Source organism: Homo sapiens, chromosome 6 (assembly GCF_000001405.40).
Source record: "Homo sapiens chromosome 6, GRCh38.p14 Primary Assembly".
In the NCBI taxonomy this organism is placed as follows: Eukaryota; Metazoa; Chordata; class Mammalia; order Primates; family Hominidae; genus Homo; species Homo sapiens.
In genome coordinates this window covers 158,646,631-158,664,446 of record NC_000006.12, presented here as the reverse complement: position 1 = coordinate 158,664,446, position 17,816 = coordinate 158,646,631, and the positions used below count along the sequence as shown (strand labels likewise).

At 45.1% G+C, this 17,816-nt stretch overlaps 1 protein-coding gene across 22 annotated transcripts in view, besides 1 other annotated feature; it reads right to left on the bottom strand.

The window, feature by feature from the left end:
- Positions 1 to 17,816, bottom strand: part of SYTL3 (synaptotagmin like 3) — a 119,936-nt gene that overhangs the window by 100,425 nt on the left and 1,695 nt on the right. For 4 of the 22 annotated variants that reach the window (XM_006715606.4, XM_047419556.1, XM_047419552.1 and 1 more), the window contains exons 2-5: positions 12,605 to 12,694; positions 3,062 to 3,178; positions 1,635 to 1,697; positions 1,069 to 1,474 (exon numbers count right to left, since the gene is read on the bottom strand). In XM_006715606.4, the coding sequence (XP_006715669.1) occupies positions 1,069 to 1,178 (110 nt within the window). In that variant the 5' untranslated portion in view covers positions 1,179 to 1,474; positions 1,635 to 1,697; positions 3,062 to 3,178; positions 12,605 to 12,694. Of the gene's footprint in view, positions 1 to 821; positions 3,179 to 12,604; positions 12,695 to 14,368; positions 14,394 to 17,816 lie in introns of those variants that run through there. The other 18 variants (XM_047419550.1, XM_047419554.1, XM_047419549.1 and 15 more) reach the window with 12 other exon arrangements.
- Positions 3,908 to 3,987: a silencer, noted in NCBI's record as "silent region_17742". NCBI's record gives its function as "represses an Ori minimal core promoter by ATAC-STARR-seq in GM12878 lymphoblastoid cells {active_cell/tissue: GM12878}" and the evidence as "EXISTENCE:reporter gene assay evidence [ECO:0000049][PMID:35858748]".

Sequence of the window (17,816 nt, the reverse complement as noted above, 5' to 3'; positions counted from 1 at the left end):
CTCAACCTCCTGAGTAGCTGGGATTACAGGCACCTGCCACCGCCCGGCTAATTTTTGTATTTTTAGTAGAGACAGGGTTTCACTATGTTGGCCAGGCTGGTCTCAAACTCCTGACCTCAGGTGATCCGCCCGCCTCAACCTCCCAAAGTGCTGGGATGACAGGCGTGAGCCACCACGCCCAGACTGTATTATAGTTTTTAATGGAAGAAAGTTTACAAGTGCACTTAGAAAGCTTTGAAATAACAGGGAGGATGAAGAATACTATACCAGAAAATTCTCCTCACTCCTCAAGCATTTGGTTGTCCAAAGTTTTGTTTTCTAATGTGTTCTGCCATTAGAAACCAAACCCTCACTTCCTCCATAGACATTGATAAACAAGCGCCAACCTGTTTAAAGATGGATCTTGACAGCTAAGGCGGAACACTGCTCTGCTAGAGTTCAGCACGCTTTTCTAAATGCTGACCCATATCAAACGGCCCGTGCAGCTTAGAGACAGACAGGGAAGAGTTCCCTGTTGGCAAAGCGGTCAGGAAACAGGCTAAGCAGGTTCATATTTTATGCTCCCCCTTCCTCAAAGCCAGCTGGGAAGCAAAAGCGAGCAAAGAAAAAAAGACAGGGCTGGATTCCATCAGAGTTGCTGCTTGTGAGCCTCTTTCTTTGCTTTTCTTTACACCTCCCGGCACCGTCAAAAATGAGGTAGGAAAACCCTTAACTGGAGGTCTTTCCTTAAAGAAGGGGTAAACTGGAAGCCTGAAAATGTCCCTTGAATGATTCCCACGAAGTCGGCAAACAGACAAGCAGATGGCAGACAGCAAACTTACCGCCCAAAGGCACCGTTTTAAATGAATAACAAGAGCGGCCTCCCTCCTCCTCCTGAGCGTCCTCTACGTTTAGTTACATAAGGAGGATCATCTCCACCAACAGACCTTCGTTAGGACCCTTCTCAGGCACGAAGCCCAGCAGCAGGTGGGTAGTGATTTGTAAGCAAACAGCATTGGCGACGGAGTGGCAGGCCCCAAGCAGAGAAAGCTAAACACCCAAAGTGACCCCCCGGGAAGGGCAGCCTACCGTGTCCTCTCCTCCTCTGTGTTTTGAACCGCCTGGTCTCGGTACAGGACCTGGAGAATGGCCTCGCGTTCTAACTCCTTGAGAGCACTCAGATCTATTTCTTGGGCCATTTCTTCTCCGTTTTCGTTGACCCAGGTTGGAAGAGCTTCACTGCATGGACCAAGCGCTCACGCCCTGCAGATGAGCGGCGGAGGCCAGCTGCAGCCAGCCTTGTTTAAAGAGCTCCCTCTCCTATTTCACTGGCAACTGTTTTGCTTGTGGTTCTTTTTTCCTTTTTAACTGTGTCATACTCCTTAGAAGAAGAAAGCCTCAAGAAGTTCTGCGTTTGTCGGAGTTACGGCTCGCAGAGCCTCGTGCTACCCGGGGGGTGTTTTCACCGGGTTCTGCAGCAGCTGCTGACATCCATCTAAGACAAAAGCATATCTCTTTTCTGAGGTTTCACCAGAGATTGTTATAAATTATCCACAGCTGCAAGCAGATAATTTCTGCAAAGCAGAAGTAATTTTCAAGCCAAGGAAATTTAGAAATAGCAATAAAAAGAGTATCAGTGACTCATAGAAGCTAACCTTCCATTTAAGATGTTTCCAGGTCAGCAGGAACCATCATGAAAAGCTCAGCCCGTTCAATACCTGCAGAAAAGAAAACAAAAAATGGCAACATTTTTCTTGGCTTAAGTATCTCTGCAGCATTACTTCCAAAAAGACAAAATATTCTACACAAACCCTTGCATTTTCTGCTCGCGGTGATAATGTAAAATTTTAAATTTGCTTAAATAACACTTCTCATATTTCTAAAAGCCTCAAACTTCCAAACTTGAATTTTCCTAATATGGATTCCATAACTTTAGTGGTCAGAGGACGTAAAAGTCTGTGTTTAATGTACATTACCCTAATTGAAGAAATACTGGAAAAATGACATTCCCAACTGTTGGCTATTATTTTTACCATTAACTTCAACACTCAAAAAATGTTTAATCAATTAAGGATGTATGAAGCAGCACCACCACAAGCTCAGCCTATCAATTATTTACAGTCTTGAATAAGTTTCATGAGCTGCCTTATGCATTAGCTCTTGTTTTTGTTTAATGACAGCTGAAAGGTTCTGCATACATCCTTTTATCCAGAAAATGCAGAAGATCAAATCAATATACTTCCTATAGTACCATTTTTGTTATTAAATCTATGGGAATCCCTTAGTGATAAGACGTCCTTTCAATGCTTTAAAAGCTAAACTTCCTTTGCTAGGCTTCAAAAAAAATCTGCATTATATTAATTTATGATCCATGGCAAATTAGTGAATGAGAGGCTAACAGAGCTCTAAGGTAGCATTTCCTTTAAGCAAAGGTTCTTAACCTTTTTCTTAATCTTTGGTAGTCTGGTGAAGCCTACGTATTTAAACGCATAAAATAAGGTATGCTGTGTTACATAGGAAGAAATTGATTATACTGAAATATTTAAAAATTGTAATATAGTAATATATGTGTTCCTTGATGCATGAAATATTAAGATCTAGCAGTGATCTAAGGACTCCCAGAATTTCAAAGTAGTGATGAATAGAAACAATGTCTTGAGATAGCTACAACATATCATGTGGTATGAAAATATCTGTGATTTCTGTTGGTGACAAAGTCACAAGTTCTGCTGATTCTACTGTGGTTTCTTGCCTATATCCATATTTTAAGAAAATGCTAAATTTGAGTTAAAGGTTAATAAAAATAAAGATTTAATTTTTTCTCCAAGTTCATGGGCCTACAGGCCAAGATTGCTCAGTTCAGGAATTCAATATTTGTCAGTTTCCCTATTGTAAAATAAAATTAAAATATATTATTCATCCCAACTGCAGAGGTTGCATGAGGAACAGAAAACCCAGAGCTCTGAAAAGGGATGTTCTCGGCTTCTAGTCTCTGACAAAGCACCCACAAGACCTGTTCTCCAAAGGCCTCCTCTCTAGATGAAGGGAAAATCACAAAGCAACAAGGACTTTAGGTTCTTACCTGGCTGGGCTGGTACCTGACTATGCCAGCAGGGGCAACGCCTCTTCCCTCCTTAGATCCAGGTTCCAGATGAACAGGCAGAACTGGCATCCCTCAGTGCCCCAAGGCTCTGAGTCTCTGGAAAAGAGGAAAGTAATAGAAAACTGTGTGTGACCAAGTGCCAAGTGGCAAGGTGCAAATTAGCCATCAAGTCACCAACTGCACGAGCCCATTCTTCTCAACTTGCCCCTCAGTTCTTCATGCTGTCTTCTTATTTCCACTCTACTAATCGTACTACTGGGTCCAGAGCCATCTGGTTTGTCTAATTCTTGAGTTTTCATTTATTTATTTTGAGACAGGACCTCATTCTGTCACCCAGGCTGGAGTGCAGTGGCACCATCATGGCTCACTGCAGCCTTGGCCTCCCAGGCTCAAGCAATCCTTTAGCCTCCGCCTCCCGAGTAGCTGGGACTACAGGTGCGGGCTACCATGCCTAGCTAATGTTTTAATTTTGTAGAGATGGGTTTCACCATGTTGCGCAGGCTGGTCTGGGCTCAAGCAGTCCTCCTGTCTCAGCCTCCCAAAGTGCTAGGTTTACAGGTGTAAGCCACTGCACCTGGCTCTCGAGTGTTTTTAGTGAAGAGTTTTTGCACCTGGCTGCAAACACTTGCTCTGTGCACTGTGCTTTCTTTTCATGTGGCTGTTTGTGCTCCGTTCTCTGGCTCTGGTCTCCAGTACTCCAGGTAAGCAGGACCACATAGCTGCAGTATTGGCTGGTAATGACACCACTCAGTGAATCTGGTGGGGGAATCTGAAATACTCAACCGCTCGCTCATACAGGTGGCTATTAGGTCTTAACGCACTTCAGAAATACAGGGTTCAATGATCATTACAAAGCACTACACTTACTTTCCCAAACCCCCGCCTGTGGGCCCCAGGTGCAAGTGTGGGAAACGCCCTTTCGAAGGCTAAGAGGGAGCTCACGCTCCCCCTAGTGCCCATTCACTCCGCGTTACAGAAAAATGAAATTCAGTTCATTTCCTGGATCCATTCATCCAGTCATTCAGTAAATATTTATTGAACACCCCAGGCGCTGTTCCGGGTTTTTTTGTTTTTTGTTTTTTGTTGTTGTTGTTGTTTTTGAGACGGAGTATTGCTCTGTTGTCCAGGCTGGAGTGCAGTGGTGCGATCTCGGCTCACTGCAACCTCCGCCTCCTGGGTTCAAGCAATTCTCCTGCTTCAGCCTTCCGAGTAGCTGGGATTACAGGTGCCCGCCACCACGCCCGGCTAATTTTTGTATTTTTAGTAGAGACGGGGTTTCACCATGTTGGTCAGGCTGGTCTCGAACTCCTGACCTCAGGCCCTCGGCGTCCCAAAGTGTTGGGATTATAGGCATGGACCACCACGCCCGGCCTGTTCAAGGTTCTTAAGGTTCATGACTTGACTGACTGGTCATTTATACCCTATTCTACATCTAACAAAAATATGATGCAGCTTACAATAAAAGCTTATAGAAGACAGCTAAAATAAAGTCAGAGAGACATCAGCAGCCAGTGAAAAAGGACTGATAATTCTACTAAGAACAGGAAGTAAAACAGTGACCACTTCAACCTTAAATGTATTTCTGACCTTCCTGGTAGCCAAGGCAAAGCAAAACAAAACGAAATGAAAAGTCAAGATGCTGTCTATAGCTTTAATACACTGAAAGAAATACAGAAAGACATCCTCAAAATGCAAACGACTAAGACAATTGCCCAGGTGCAGTGGCTCACGCTTGTAATCCCAGCACTCTGGGAGGCCGAGGCGGGCGGATCAACTGAGGTCAGGAGTTGGAGACCAGCCTGACCAACATGGTGAAACCCTGTCTCTACTAAAAATACAAAATTAGCCAGGATTGGTGGGACATGCCTGTAATCTCAGCTACTCGGGAGGCTGAGGCAGGGGAATCACTTGAACCCGGGAGGCAGAGGTTGCAGTGAGCCAAGATCGCACCATCGCACTCCAGCCTGGGCAACAAGAGTGAAACTCCGTCTCAAGAAGAAAAAAAAGAAAAGACTAAGACGATCAACTCCCTAGACAGACAGCTCCTTCTGGCTTGGCAGAAGATGTGCAAAACTGTACTTTCTGTATCACTATATTGACCTCAAATTAAAGCCAAGGATATAACACTACATTGTAATTCACTGGAAGTATTTCAAATACAGACCAAAGCAGGAAACCTTCTGGTGTTCCCAGTTGCCTGGGACTGAGCTTAGAGAACTCGAGGTATGTGTATTCCGCATTCATCCCATCATTGTTACTCTTCACTTTTAGAGACTTTGATCCTAGTTTCTCTAAACCTTGATTCTAGCTTCTATAAACCATGTCACTCAAGCACTTGGTTAGCACTTAGAACAACAATCAACCAACCCTATGGTTTAGCAACTACTATGAGTAAAGCCTTCTATTGATAAGATTGAGACATACCCTCTTTTTTTGAGATGGAGTTTCGCTCTTGTCACCCAAGCTGGAGTGCAATGGCATGATCTCTGCTCACTGCAACGTCCGCCTCCCAGGTTCAAGTGATTCTCCTGCCTCAGCCTCCCGAGTAGTAGCGACTACAGGCGTGTGCCTCCATGCCTGGCTAATTTTTTTTTGTATTTTTAGTACAGACAGGGTTTCACCATGTTGGCCAGGCTGGTCTCAAACTCCTGACTTCAGGTGATCCTCCCACCTCGACCTCCCAAAGTGCTGGGATTATAGGCGTGAGCTACCGCGCCTGGCCGACGTACTCTTCTGTTTAACTTTGGAAGGTCCACTCCAAAGAAGGGGTAACTTTTTGCAACGATCCAAGAGGTATAGCATAGAGCATCATCCTATGGTAGCATCAAGATTGACCAGAAAGCTATGAAGGTCATTTCTCTTTGGTTTCCAGTGTTCCACTGGTGTCCCCACTGGCTTGATGGCGTTGGGCATTCGATTGAACCACAGTTGCTTCATTTCAGCGGGACTCGCTCCAGCTTTTCAATGAGTGCAGTACCATACCCCCATCTTTAGGAATGTGTGGAGTATATATGATTGTCACAGCGACAAATAACTGTCTTGCATTTTCATATAAATCATACAAGTCATTTAGGCAAAAAAAAATTTTAATTAACAACAGAATTTAACTCATATTTAAAAGTATATTTTGCAGGGTTTTGTACACTCCAAATGTTCTAGAAATGCAACTAGTGGGCCGGGCGTGGTGGCTCACGCCTGTAATCCCAGAACTTTGGGAGGCTGAGGCAGGCGGATCACGAGGTCAGGAGATTGAGACCATCCTGGCTAACACAGTGAAACCCCGTCTCTACTAAAAATACAAAAAATTAGCCGGGTGTTGTGGCAGGCGCCTGTAGTCCCACCTACTTGGGAGGCTGGGGCAGGAGAATGGCATGAACCTGGGAGGCAGAGCTTGCAGTGAGCTGAGATAGTGCCACTGCACTCCAGCCTGGGCGACAGAGCAAGACTCCGTCTCAAAAAATAATAGTAATAAGTTAAAAAAAAAAAAAGAAATGCAACTAGTGTGTAAATGGAAGGAAGACTATTTTGTTTCATTTCAAACTTTAACAAGAATTTTTTATTGTTTCAGAAAGACATCATGGAGGGCAACATTGCTTATGGTACTGGAATCACTATGCCATGTATTGATGGCCCGCGTCTGCAGACAATGTCCTTAATATGATTTGATGTATGCAAACATCTGACTATTTCACCTTGTCTTCTCATGCAGTTTACATATACAAGTACATATTATCATTCACTATCCCTTTACTTCTTTTCTTTTGAGACAGAGTCATAGTCTATTTTTCCAAGACAAAGTATGCCTAGGTGACAATTTACTCATTTTAAAATTATCTTTCAGGTTTTTTGTTTTGTTTTTTCATAAAGTTTTTCCTAGCCATTAACAGTTTCTCTTTTTTTCTTTTTTCTTTTTCTCTCTTTTTTTTTTTTTTTTTTTTTGAGCCAGAGTCTCGCTCTGCCACCCAGGCTGGAGTGCAATGGTGCAATCTCGCCTCACTACAACCTCTACCTCCCAGGTTCCAGCGATTCTCTTGACTCAGCCTCCTGAGTAGCTGGGATTACAGGCACGCGCCATCACACACGGCTAATTTTTGTATTTTTAGTAGAGAAAGGGTTTCACCATGTTGGCCAGACTGGTCTTGAACTCCTGACCTCAGTTGATCTGTCCGCCTCGGCCTCCCAAAGTACTGGGATTACAGGCATGAGTCACCGTGCCCGGCCACTACTAAGGGTTTTTAAGGTGGCAGATGGAGTTAATTAGTAAACTGAATGAGCCTATAGTAAGTACCAGGAAGATCAGAGATAACTTCCAAACACCTCACAGCATTAGCAAGAAAAAGTGAACCTTTACAGATTTAAATTCTGGTCACTTACACTAGCAAGATATGAAAAACCACATGGAGTTACTTTACATAGTCTTAAAAATGGATAAAACAAATGTAATTCTCTCTTGAATGCTTTTGGTTTTGTGCCATTTTGAAGTAGAACATGAGGTAGTCAAGGAATTCTGTGAAATCTATTAAAATTCGCTGCATATTTCTCCACACTGTCCCGCCATCACCACACAACACCAGGTTTGTGCTTCAGGCCCTTCTACAACAATAGAGTAAGGGAGTAAGGTGGATGATTTTTTTTTTTTTGAGACAGAGTCTCGCTCTGTCGCCCAGGCTGGAGTGCAGTGGCACAATCTCCACTCACTGCAAGCTCCACCTCCCGGGTTTACGCCATTCTCCTGCCTCAGCCTCCTGAGTAGCTGGGACTACAGGCGCCTGCCACCATGCCCGGCTAATTTTTTGTACTTTTAGTAGAGATGGGGTTTCACCGTGTCAGCCAGGATGGTCTCGATCTCCTGACCTCGTGATCTGCCCGCCTCAGCCTCCCAAAGTGCTGGGATTACAGGCGTGAGCCATCGCACCCGGCCAAGGATGACATTTTTAACACTCACAAAGCAGGTAACAGGAATAGTTGTCACAGGGGTCCTGAACTGGCTGCACCCACCTGCTTGCAGGCAAACGACCACATGCAACCACCCAGAGCAGCAGTGATGTTGCTGAATGGACCACGAGGAAGAGGAAGACTGACAGGTGACAGGAAAGGACAGGACACCTGCCTGGCTGAGACGCCACCGCCAGGCCTGGGAGAAGAGGGGAGTTGTGTGAGGATTGGAAAGGAGGAGAAGGCATCTCTAGGGTGAGAGACGGCAGATGTGACAATACTGAGGTGGGAATGTGTCACTCTTCCACTCTCCAGTGAAGTCACGCTGGTTTTCCCTTCCCGTAAACACATTCTAAAGCACAGGCATCCCAGTCGTGACCTCCCGATCCAGTTCTCCTGACTCCTCCATCCTCAGTTCCCACAGAATGCTCGCCACTCCCATACTGACCTCATTCAAGACCATTCCCTGACCACATGCGCTCTGCATTTCCACGCATCGGCCCCACTCTTCCTTCTGCCCAATGAGGCAAGAGATGGGGACAGTCATGAGACCAGGGCTGGGGGCTGGCTGTGTGGGTGAGTAGCTGCCTCTGCCACCGACTTGCTGTTGAGCTGATGATGGGCAAGTTACTTAAGCCCTCTGGGGCTTCATGTCCTCATCTACGAAGTAGACAGGTGCAGCACCCACTTCACGGCGGTGCTATGATGACGAAACGTGCTGATGCATGTGGAGACCTCTAGAGCACAGTGCTCAGCTCATAAGTACACTCAGCTAATGCCGGCTGACAGTCGTGGTACTAACAGTAAGAGCAGCCTCACTCTTACTATTAGCCCTTCAAGGGCCAGATCAAGGCTACCCAGTTCAGAAACTTTCTCCTCATTTACAATAAAGATCCATTGCTCCTTCAAATTTAACTGCTTTCTAATTTGTATATTTCGATGGTGACCCTGATTTCATTCTGTCTTGAGTGTTTGCCTTCTAGGGACAATATCAGATTTCAGCGATTCCCCCATCACCCAGCCAGGAGGCACTTGATGTTTGGCTTGAATTGAGAAACCTGAAGAATATTGCGACACGGAGATTTACTCCGATGTCAAACTTCCTTCCTAGGGCAGGAAGCCCATATTCAAGTACAGCAGGAAGTAAGGACGGGCAGGGGGCAAGTGAGTCCTCACTGCAGAAAACCTCAGTCTTCAGAAATCCAAAAAGCATAGAAAAATCTGAGTCATTTTGGAATTTAACAGGAATCTTTGAAATTGTATGTTAATCATCTCACGCAGGAATTCACAATCTCATAGCTTGAATACGGAAATCTCCTAGGTCCATTTTCCCAGGATGACATTTATTCGGTCACTCCATCATTTGCTCAACAAGATCTTAAATGCTCTATGATGTCCCAAGCACTGAGTCAGGCACCGTCCTCACCTGCTCGGAGCTTAGATCCAGTCTCCTAACTCCCCTGCTACATTTTTGTAATGGTGCCTGTCTTTGTTTTACAGCACTCCATCGATCAGCCTGATTTTATCTGGCAATTAAAAATGAATAAATCCCACACCACAGCACCACCTGGAAGGAAACATTCTCCTACAGCCATGTGGAGAAGCCCCCCCGACACTCAGCCATCCTGTCTCTGTGTCACTTTTGGAGCCAGACAGTCTGGGCTCATACCCAGCCAGGACTCAGCCACGTGCTCTCAGGCCAGCTGCTTCATCTCTGGGAGACTGGCCTTCCTCCTCCGTGACATGGAGCCATCCCTGCTTCACAGGGCTGTTTGGGGAACTCACTGAGTCATCCAGGCACAGCCCTAGAGCAACAGCCAGAACAAAGCAAGCCCGACTCAAAAGGGTTTCTTCTACCCTTCCATCTCCCCTTCAGGAAGGCCCAAGAGTAGGAAGTTAAGCCACTGTTCTGGGATTGGGAGGGACGCGGGCAGCCATGGGGAAAACTTCAATCTAGGTGTTTCCATTGGTCTTTATCTGGTCATGCTGTATCCCAGTGGAACTTCGGCATCCAGACAAACACAGTTTGGTTACGGCATTGAGTGTGTCAGTTCAACACTGATTTTATTGGCCTCTATGTATCAAGCACGTGCCAGATATCGAGGATCTAAAAAGAAGTGAGACTCAATCTCTGCATTTAAGAAGGACCCATCCCAGCCAGAACATGGACACACAGACAAATAACTCATAACATGGTGGGATGAGTACAAAACCCAAGGATCAGAAGGCAAGAGTCACTCCACACAGGAGCAGAGAGGGCTGGTGGGACCAGGGAGGGCTTCCCAGGGAGAGACGTGTGGGACAGCTCCGCCAGGGGACTGAAATAGTCAGCCATGCACTAGGAGTTTGAAACAATGCCTGCTTGCTTTCCTCAGCCTAACAGCAAATCTTGACTTTGGCTTCTAAATCTGGTGAAAGGGGAAAAGTACAAGAAAAGTAAAACCAATGAAGAAAAGAGATGAGGAGGATGGGAAAGGGACACATTGTTTATTCTTAGGGGCCCCTATTTCTTTCATCCAATCATCTATTGTCTCTGAGCAGTCAGTCATCAGATCAAAGGAAATAAATGTTCAGCCCTCCCTGGTACGGGGGAAACGTCACCAGAGTGGAAATGCAGAGATCTGCGGTAGCATGAGTGCGTGTGAATGTGACTGTCATCACCACACACGCTTTCAAGGGAAGACTACAGAACGTTCTCAAAGCCCACAAGCCACAGCCCTGCAGGTCATTTCAAGCGGGCGGCAGCTCGCTCCTGTATTGTTTACCACAGCTATTTCCTTGAGAAGTTTCACAGCTTCAGCGTGCAGCCACCATGCTTTCTGCCTCGTACACAGGGGAAAAGTTGAGTGACTGCATTGTCCTTGAAATTTTACCTGAAAACCTCATGACTTTTTTGCTTGCATAGATTCTTTTTTTTTTTCTCTGAGACGGAGTTCGCTCTTGTTGCCCAGGCGGGAATGCAATGGCGCGATCTTGGCTCACCACAACCTCCGCCTCCCAGGTTCATGAAATTCTCCTGCCTCAACCTCCCGAGTAGCTGACATTACAGGCATGCACCACCATCCTCCGCTAATTTTGTATTTTTAGTAGAGACAGGGTTTCTTCATGTTGGTCAGGCTGGTCTCAAACTCCCAACCTCAGGTGATCTGCCCACCGTGGCCTCCCAAAGTGCTGGGATTACAGGTGTGAGCCACTGCGACCGGCCTGCTTGCATAGATTCTTTACGGAAGCTGATTACAGCCACAAAGGAAGGTGATGAATAAAGAACAGCTCTCAGCTCAGTTCCCTATTCATAGGCTTAAAAGACTCATTTTTGCAACAATGAGACAGCACGCATGCATATCCATCAGAAAGTCTGACACAGAAATGAAGATGTGCGTTTATACATTTTCTGTCTATCTTGTTACTCATTCAGAGGTGGGTTTTCTGGGAAGCGAATGACACCTCAACTTCAGAATCCTTTATTTGCACGGCCCTGTCCAAGGCCCTAGATGCCCTGTACCTGGTTCCCTCTTTGTTTTCCCAAAGTCTCCACAAGTTGTACAAGTTTCAGGTCCCTCAGATATCTCTACTTCACATTAGAAGACTCGGCTGGGTGCGGTGGCTCACGCCTGTAATCCCAGCACTTTGGGAAGCTGAGGTGGGTGGATCACGAGGTCAGGAGTTTTGAGACCAGCCTGGCCAACATGGTGAAACCCTGTCTTTACTAAAAATACAAAAATTAGCCGGGCATGGTGGTGGGCACCTGTAATCCCAGCTACTCGGGAAGCTGAGACAGAATTGTTTGAACCTGGGAGGTGGAGGTTGCAGTGAGCTGAGATCGCGCCATTGCACTCCAGCCTGGGTGACAGAGCGAGACTCTGTCTCAAAAAAATAAATAAGGCCGGGCGTGGTGGCTCACGCTTGTAATCCCAGCACTTTGGGAGGACGAGGCAGGTGGATCATGAAGTCAGGAGATGGAGACCATCCTGGCCAACATGTTAAAACCCTGTCTCCACTAAAAATACAAAAAAATTAGCCAGGTGTGGCGGCAGGTGCCTATAGTCCCAGCTACTTCGGAGGCTGAGGCAGGAGAATGGTGTTAACCCGGGAGGCAGAGCTTGCAGTGAGCTGAAATTGCAGCCACTGCACTCTAGCCTGGGCAACAGAGTGAGACTCTGTCTCAAAAAATAATAATAATAAAATAAGTAAATAAATAAACAGGCTGGGCTCGGTGGCTCACACCTGTAATCCCAACACTTTGGGAGGCCGAGGTGGGTGGATCACCTGAGGTCAGGAGTTTGAGACCAGCCTAGCCAACCTGGTGAAACCTCATCTATACTAAAAATACAAAAATTATCTGGGCATGGTGGCAGGCACCTGTAATCCTAGCTACCGGGGAGGCTGAGGCAGGAGAATCACTTGAACCTGGGAGGCAGGGGTTGCAGTGAACCGAGATCGTGCCATTGCACTCCAGCCTGGGCAACAGAGTGAGACTCCATCTCAAATAAATAAAAAAAAATAAAAATACATAAAAATAAATAAATAAATAAATAAAACATTAGAAGACTCACACGTGGGCTTGAATCTATAAAACTTGAAGCCTACCTGAGAGAGGACAAAGTTGAACAGGCGCTTTCTCTGAAAGATCACTGCAATTCACCGCTGATTCCGAGTATTCTTTCTCATTCGGGGAGCCTTTTACCACCCAAAAACAACAAAAAATATTACTTTAGAATCAGAAATAGGAATTCATGACTGAAATAGGAAGCCATGGCATTCATACTTTAAACTTGACCTCTTTGTATGGAAGAGCAAAGAAATGAGAATTAATATTATTATTTATTTATTTATTTATTTATTTGAGATGGAGTCTCGCTCTGTCACCAGGCTGGAGTGCAGTGGCGCGATCTCAGCTCACTGCAACCTCCACCTCCCGGGTTCAAGCAATTCCCCTGCCTCAGCCTCCTGAGTAGCTGGGACTACAGGCGCCCGCCACCACACCCAGCTAATTTTTTTGTATTTTTTAGTAGAGTTTCACCATGTTGGCCAGGATGATCTCGATCTCTTGACCTCATGATCCATCCGCCTAGGCCTCCCAAAGTGCTGAGATGACAGGCGTGAGCCATCACACCCGGCCGAGAATTAATATTATTATATCCTTCTAGGTACTACTCACAATTGTTGTTATGCTTTCTGTTGTGCCAACAGCTACTATTTATTTAGCTCTTACTCTGAACCAGATAGTTTAAGTACTTTGCATACATTATCTCTACTAATCCTTATTGCCACATTATGAAGTAAATGTACCCATTCTACAGATGAGGAGAGTGAGTCTTGGAGTGATTAAGTAACTTACCTAAACTCACACTCTAAACTGGGTCTGTTTAACTCCAAAACCTTATGCTTCATTTAGGCAAAGCAGCTAAGTTAGAATCTCCAACTATCTTGGCTAAATAATCTTTTCTACACCAATTCTAATTTCTTTTTTTCTTTTTTTGAGACGGAGTCTTACTCTGTTGCCCAGGCTGGATTGCAGTGGCAGGATCTTGGCTCACTGCCACCTCCGCCTCCCAGGTTCAAGTGATTCTCGTGCCTCAGCCTCCTGGGCAGCTGGGATTACAGGTGCCTGCCACCACACCCAGCTAATTTTTGTATTTTTTTTTTTTTTTTAGAGATGGGGTTTCATCATGTTGGCCAGGCTGGTCTCAAATTCCTGATCTCAAGGGATCTACCCACCTTGGCCTCCCAAAGTACTGGGATTACAGGCGTGAGCCACCGCACCCAGCCCAATTCTAATTTAATAAATCTTTAATATCTAATGTGCACTTTCCTCTCATAGTCTCTTTCTTACCAAGCAATTTAGAGATTAAGGAAGCTTAATTAAAAGAAATTTAAATTAGACCCTAGCTAACTTTTTTATAATTCCAAAATGATATTTATGTTCCACCTCCAAACGAGAAATTACGGATGATCAAAACAATAAAGTCGATTCAGAGAGAGCAAAATAGTAATAAACTGTAAGTATAAGAATTTGCAAACCAAAGAAGAAAGCAAATGACACTCTACCCTTTAAAAAAAAAAATCACACCATATAGCTTTTGGATAGTGTTTTTCTGTTTTGTTTTGGTTTTTAATTAACTCTGAAGTCACTTCCACCATATCACTTAAATCATTATTATCTCAAATGTTAAATGTATGTTATTCAATAAAATTACAAGATATCTTTTATCTAATTTATTATGTTTTGTTTCCTACCTTTTCAATGTCATAAATTTAAGAAAAGTTACAATAACTATAATCTCTACCCACCCCACTCCCCCACTCCTAAAACGACCTGCTGCAACGGCCAGCCATGCCTTCTCATCCTACCTTCGCATCTGCTTCAAGAGAAGAGACCAGAGCCGGCTCTGCAGAGAAGGAAGTCAATTCTTCTTGTTAGAGTAACTGACGTATTTCTCTTCCCTTCCTGTCGGGCACAGGCTGACGCAGTGCACCCTGTGTGGCCAGCCTTACATGCCTCGGTGGCTACTCCCACATCACTAGGGACCCAGGGAGCAAAGCCACCCCAAAACCACATCAAGGAGCTCTTCTATGCCAACATTTTACATTTTTAGCTGGAGGAAAGACCAGGCTGATGCTGGTGAAATGTTTCACCCTTCCTAAGGAAACTCCCTACAGAGACTACAGCCTTCAAATATTCAAATGTTCTCACATTTGTGAAGGGTTTCACATTGACTTCAGTGTAAATGACTAACCACATCTCAAAGAACAGCTATTAACTCAAGAATAATTTACAAGAAAGGGGGACAGCCAGGCCAAGAGCGATGAAGATTGTAATGAAATCACCAAGGGGAACCTTCAAAATGCTGTGCGTGTACTAGGTAGTATTACTCAGCACCGTGAAGTGTCCCTGCCCTGCTAACTCAGGCATGGCCAAGGACTTGCTCTGGAGAGCAATAAGACAATGAAGTGTGTGCAAAGGTGCCACGTGCCACGTAGGCTTGGCACCTACCGAGCCAGTACTGGGGCCACCATTCATTCTCTTTCCCTTCTCTTTCCCTTGATGACTCCAGACACAGGCTGCTCCAGCAACCTCGTCTCAGCATGGAGAAGACATGAAGCAGAGCCATGGAAGATCCTTGATGGTCATGGAGTGTGAGTGGCAAATAAATGTTTGCTGTCATCAACCACTGAGAGTGTAGGGCCATTTGTTTCTGCAGCTAACCTAGCCTATTCTGCTGATGTAGTGTGTAGTGTTTTCACAAACACAGAACTGAGCACCAAACTATTTAATAACTACTATAGCATGAATATTTACCCATTGGAACAAATGCCAGCGGAGGCCCTGCTATACCACGAGTTATCCTTTAGTTATTGGATCTTGGGGATGAGGTCCCAGGGAAGGGGCTGCAGTCACCAGGATTGAGAGGAAGAGGGACCCAAGAAGCTCAGAGCAGCCACTGTTTCATGGGGTACAGAGGTATTTCAGCACAACTGTGCCTCCGCTTCCCAGCTCAATAGCAGATCTAAATATAGGCACTTCTTAGCTAATCTCTTTAGCTTTTCTCAGCACAGGACTCTCACTTTAGATATGTGTCAGCCAGAGTTTCTTTTCCTTTACAACATTAAATTCCTCAGCCATGAGTGTTTCAACAGCACCCTCGTCCTCATCGTCTTCTTCTGTTACTATTATTTTGACTCAGCATGATCTCATAGTAACACACTTCTTGGCACAGGGGAAGAAAGGAAAAAATGGAAAATCCACAGGATGGCATTTGGACTATGAAGGGCTGCAGATTATAGCAGAACAACACTGCTGGATATTATTATTATTATTATTTTTTTTTTTTTTTTTTTGAGACCGAGTCTCGCTCTTTCACCCAGTCGGGACTGCAGTGGCGCGATCTCGGCTCACTGCAAGCTCCGCCTCCCGGGTTCACGCTATTCTCCTGCCTCAGCCTCCCGAGTAGCTGGGACTACAGGCGCCCACCACCGCACCCAGCTAATTTTTTGTATTTTTAGTAGATACAGGGTTTCACCGTGTTAGCCAGGATGGTCTCGATCTCCTGACCTCGTGATCCGCCCGCCTCGGCCTCCCAAAGTGCTGGGATTACAGGCGTGAGCCACCACGCCTGGCCTATTATTTTATTTTTTGAGACGGAGTTTCGCTCTTGTTACCCGGGCTGGAGTGCAATGGCGCTATCTCAGCTCACCGCAATCTCTGCCTCCTGGGTTCAAGCGATTCTCCTGCCTCAGCCTCCCAAGTAGCTGGGATTACAAGCATGCACCACCATGCCTGGCTAATTTTGTATTTTTAGTAGAGATAGGGTTTCTCCATGTTGGTCAGGCTAGTCTCGAACTCCCGACCTCTGGTGATCTGCCCACCTCAGCCTCCCAAAGTACTGGGATTACAGGTGTGAGCCACTGCGCCCAGCCACTGCTGGATATTATTGATGTTATTTATTGATGTGACAGTTCATTGATTGCTATGATTATTAGGCCCACACTTGCTAAATAAAGGTATTGGCAGCTCCAGTCCCACAGTCTGTATTCAAGAAATTTGACTCCAGAAAAGAAAGGTGATTGCACGCAAACCTGCCAACCTATCACTAACCTCCAAATTGAAAAACAAACCTAAGATTCACTCCACTGACTTACTGCATAGAAACTAAACATTATTCTAAAATATGGCAGAATGCCAAAGATTCATGAGCAGTTACGAGTAAAGGTGTCTGAGCTCCAATGCTTCTGATGGACATCCATTCGTGGCAGATGGAAGGTGCTGGAAATGGCATCTGGTGAACTGCCAAATGTCTTAACGATTTTAAATTCCTTAGCCCTACAGACTACATCAGTTGGGCAGAATATAATACCACATCACTGCATTTTTCCAAGCACTACAACATCACATAAGCCTAGAGAATTCAAACCCTCCTATTTACAGATATATCCGTTTAAAAGAAAAAATTCCATAAAGGCCATGTTTTAGTCAACTTTGTAGCCTCAACCCCCAGCTCAGAGCCTGACACAAAGGGAGTGCTCCATATATGTGTATTGAACAAGTGAACAGATAGTTGTGAAGATAAACAGACCAGCTCATCCGTTTACTGGCAGCCTCAAAATGTCATACATCGCGATCATTTAACAAATGTTCTTTAATAGTTAAAATTGGAGAGTGGTACCCAATGTATAAAAGCTAAAATCATGTAAGCATTTTTAAAATGCACATTTGCATGTTTTCTGTTGATTTATGTGCATGCTGGTGATCCGCAGTTATAACAAGATCCATGCATTAATTATGCACCATCCTAGCAGACATTCAGGAAATTGATTTAAATTAGGAAGTTCCTAAAAGGTTGTGGGGAAAATTGAAAAGGCTGTCCCAAGTGTCATGTTCTTCCATTGCAGGTGTTTGCTCAGAACCGGTTTACTCTTGCTTTGCACATAATTCTGTGACACTTAGCTACTGAACTCCAGGTCCACAACAAAGTAGCAGAAGAAAAAAGATTTCAGAGGCTCCTGATTGGCTCAGGATCGTGGTGGGGCCAAGAGCTTGGAACCAGGTAGGCAGAGAACATCCAAAACGAGATCTCAGGTGATACTGAGAAGGGCAGGCAGGCAAAGCAATGTCAGCATCAGAATCACATGTGGACTGAGGCGCACGACTGAAACACCAGGACAGGGGAGTTGAAGCCAGGTAATAAGAAAGGAATTCAAAAGGTAGATAAAGTTCAGAATCCAAGGAGAGGAAGACCAGGTGTGGTAAAGCAACCAGCCTGCCCAGCAAGTCTCCTCGCTCAGGCCGAACACCCAGGGC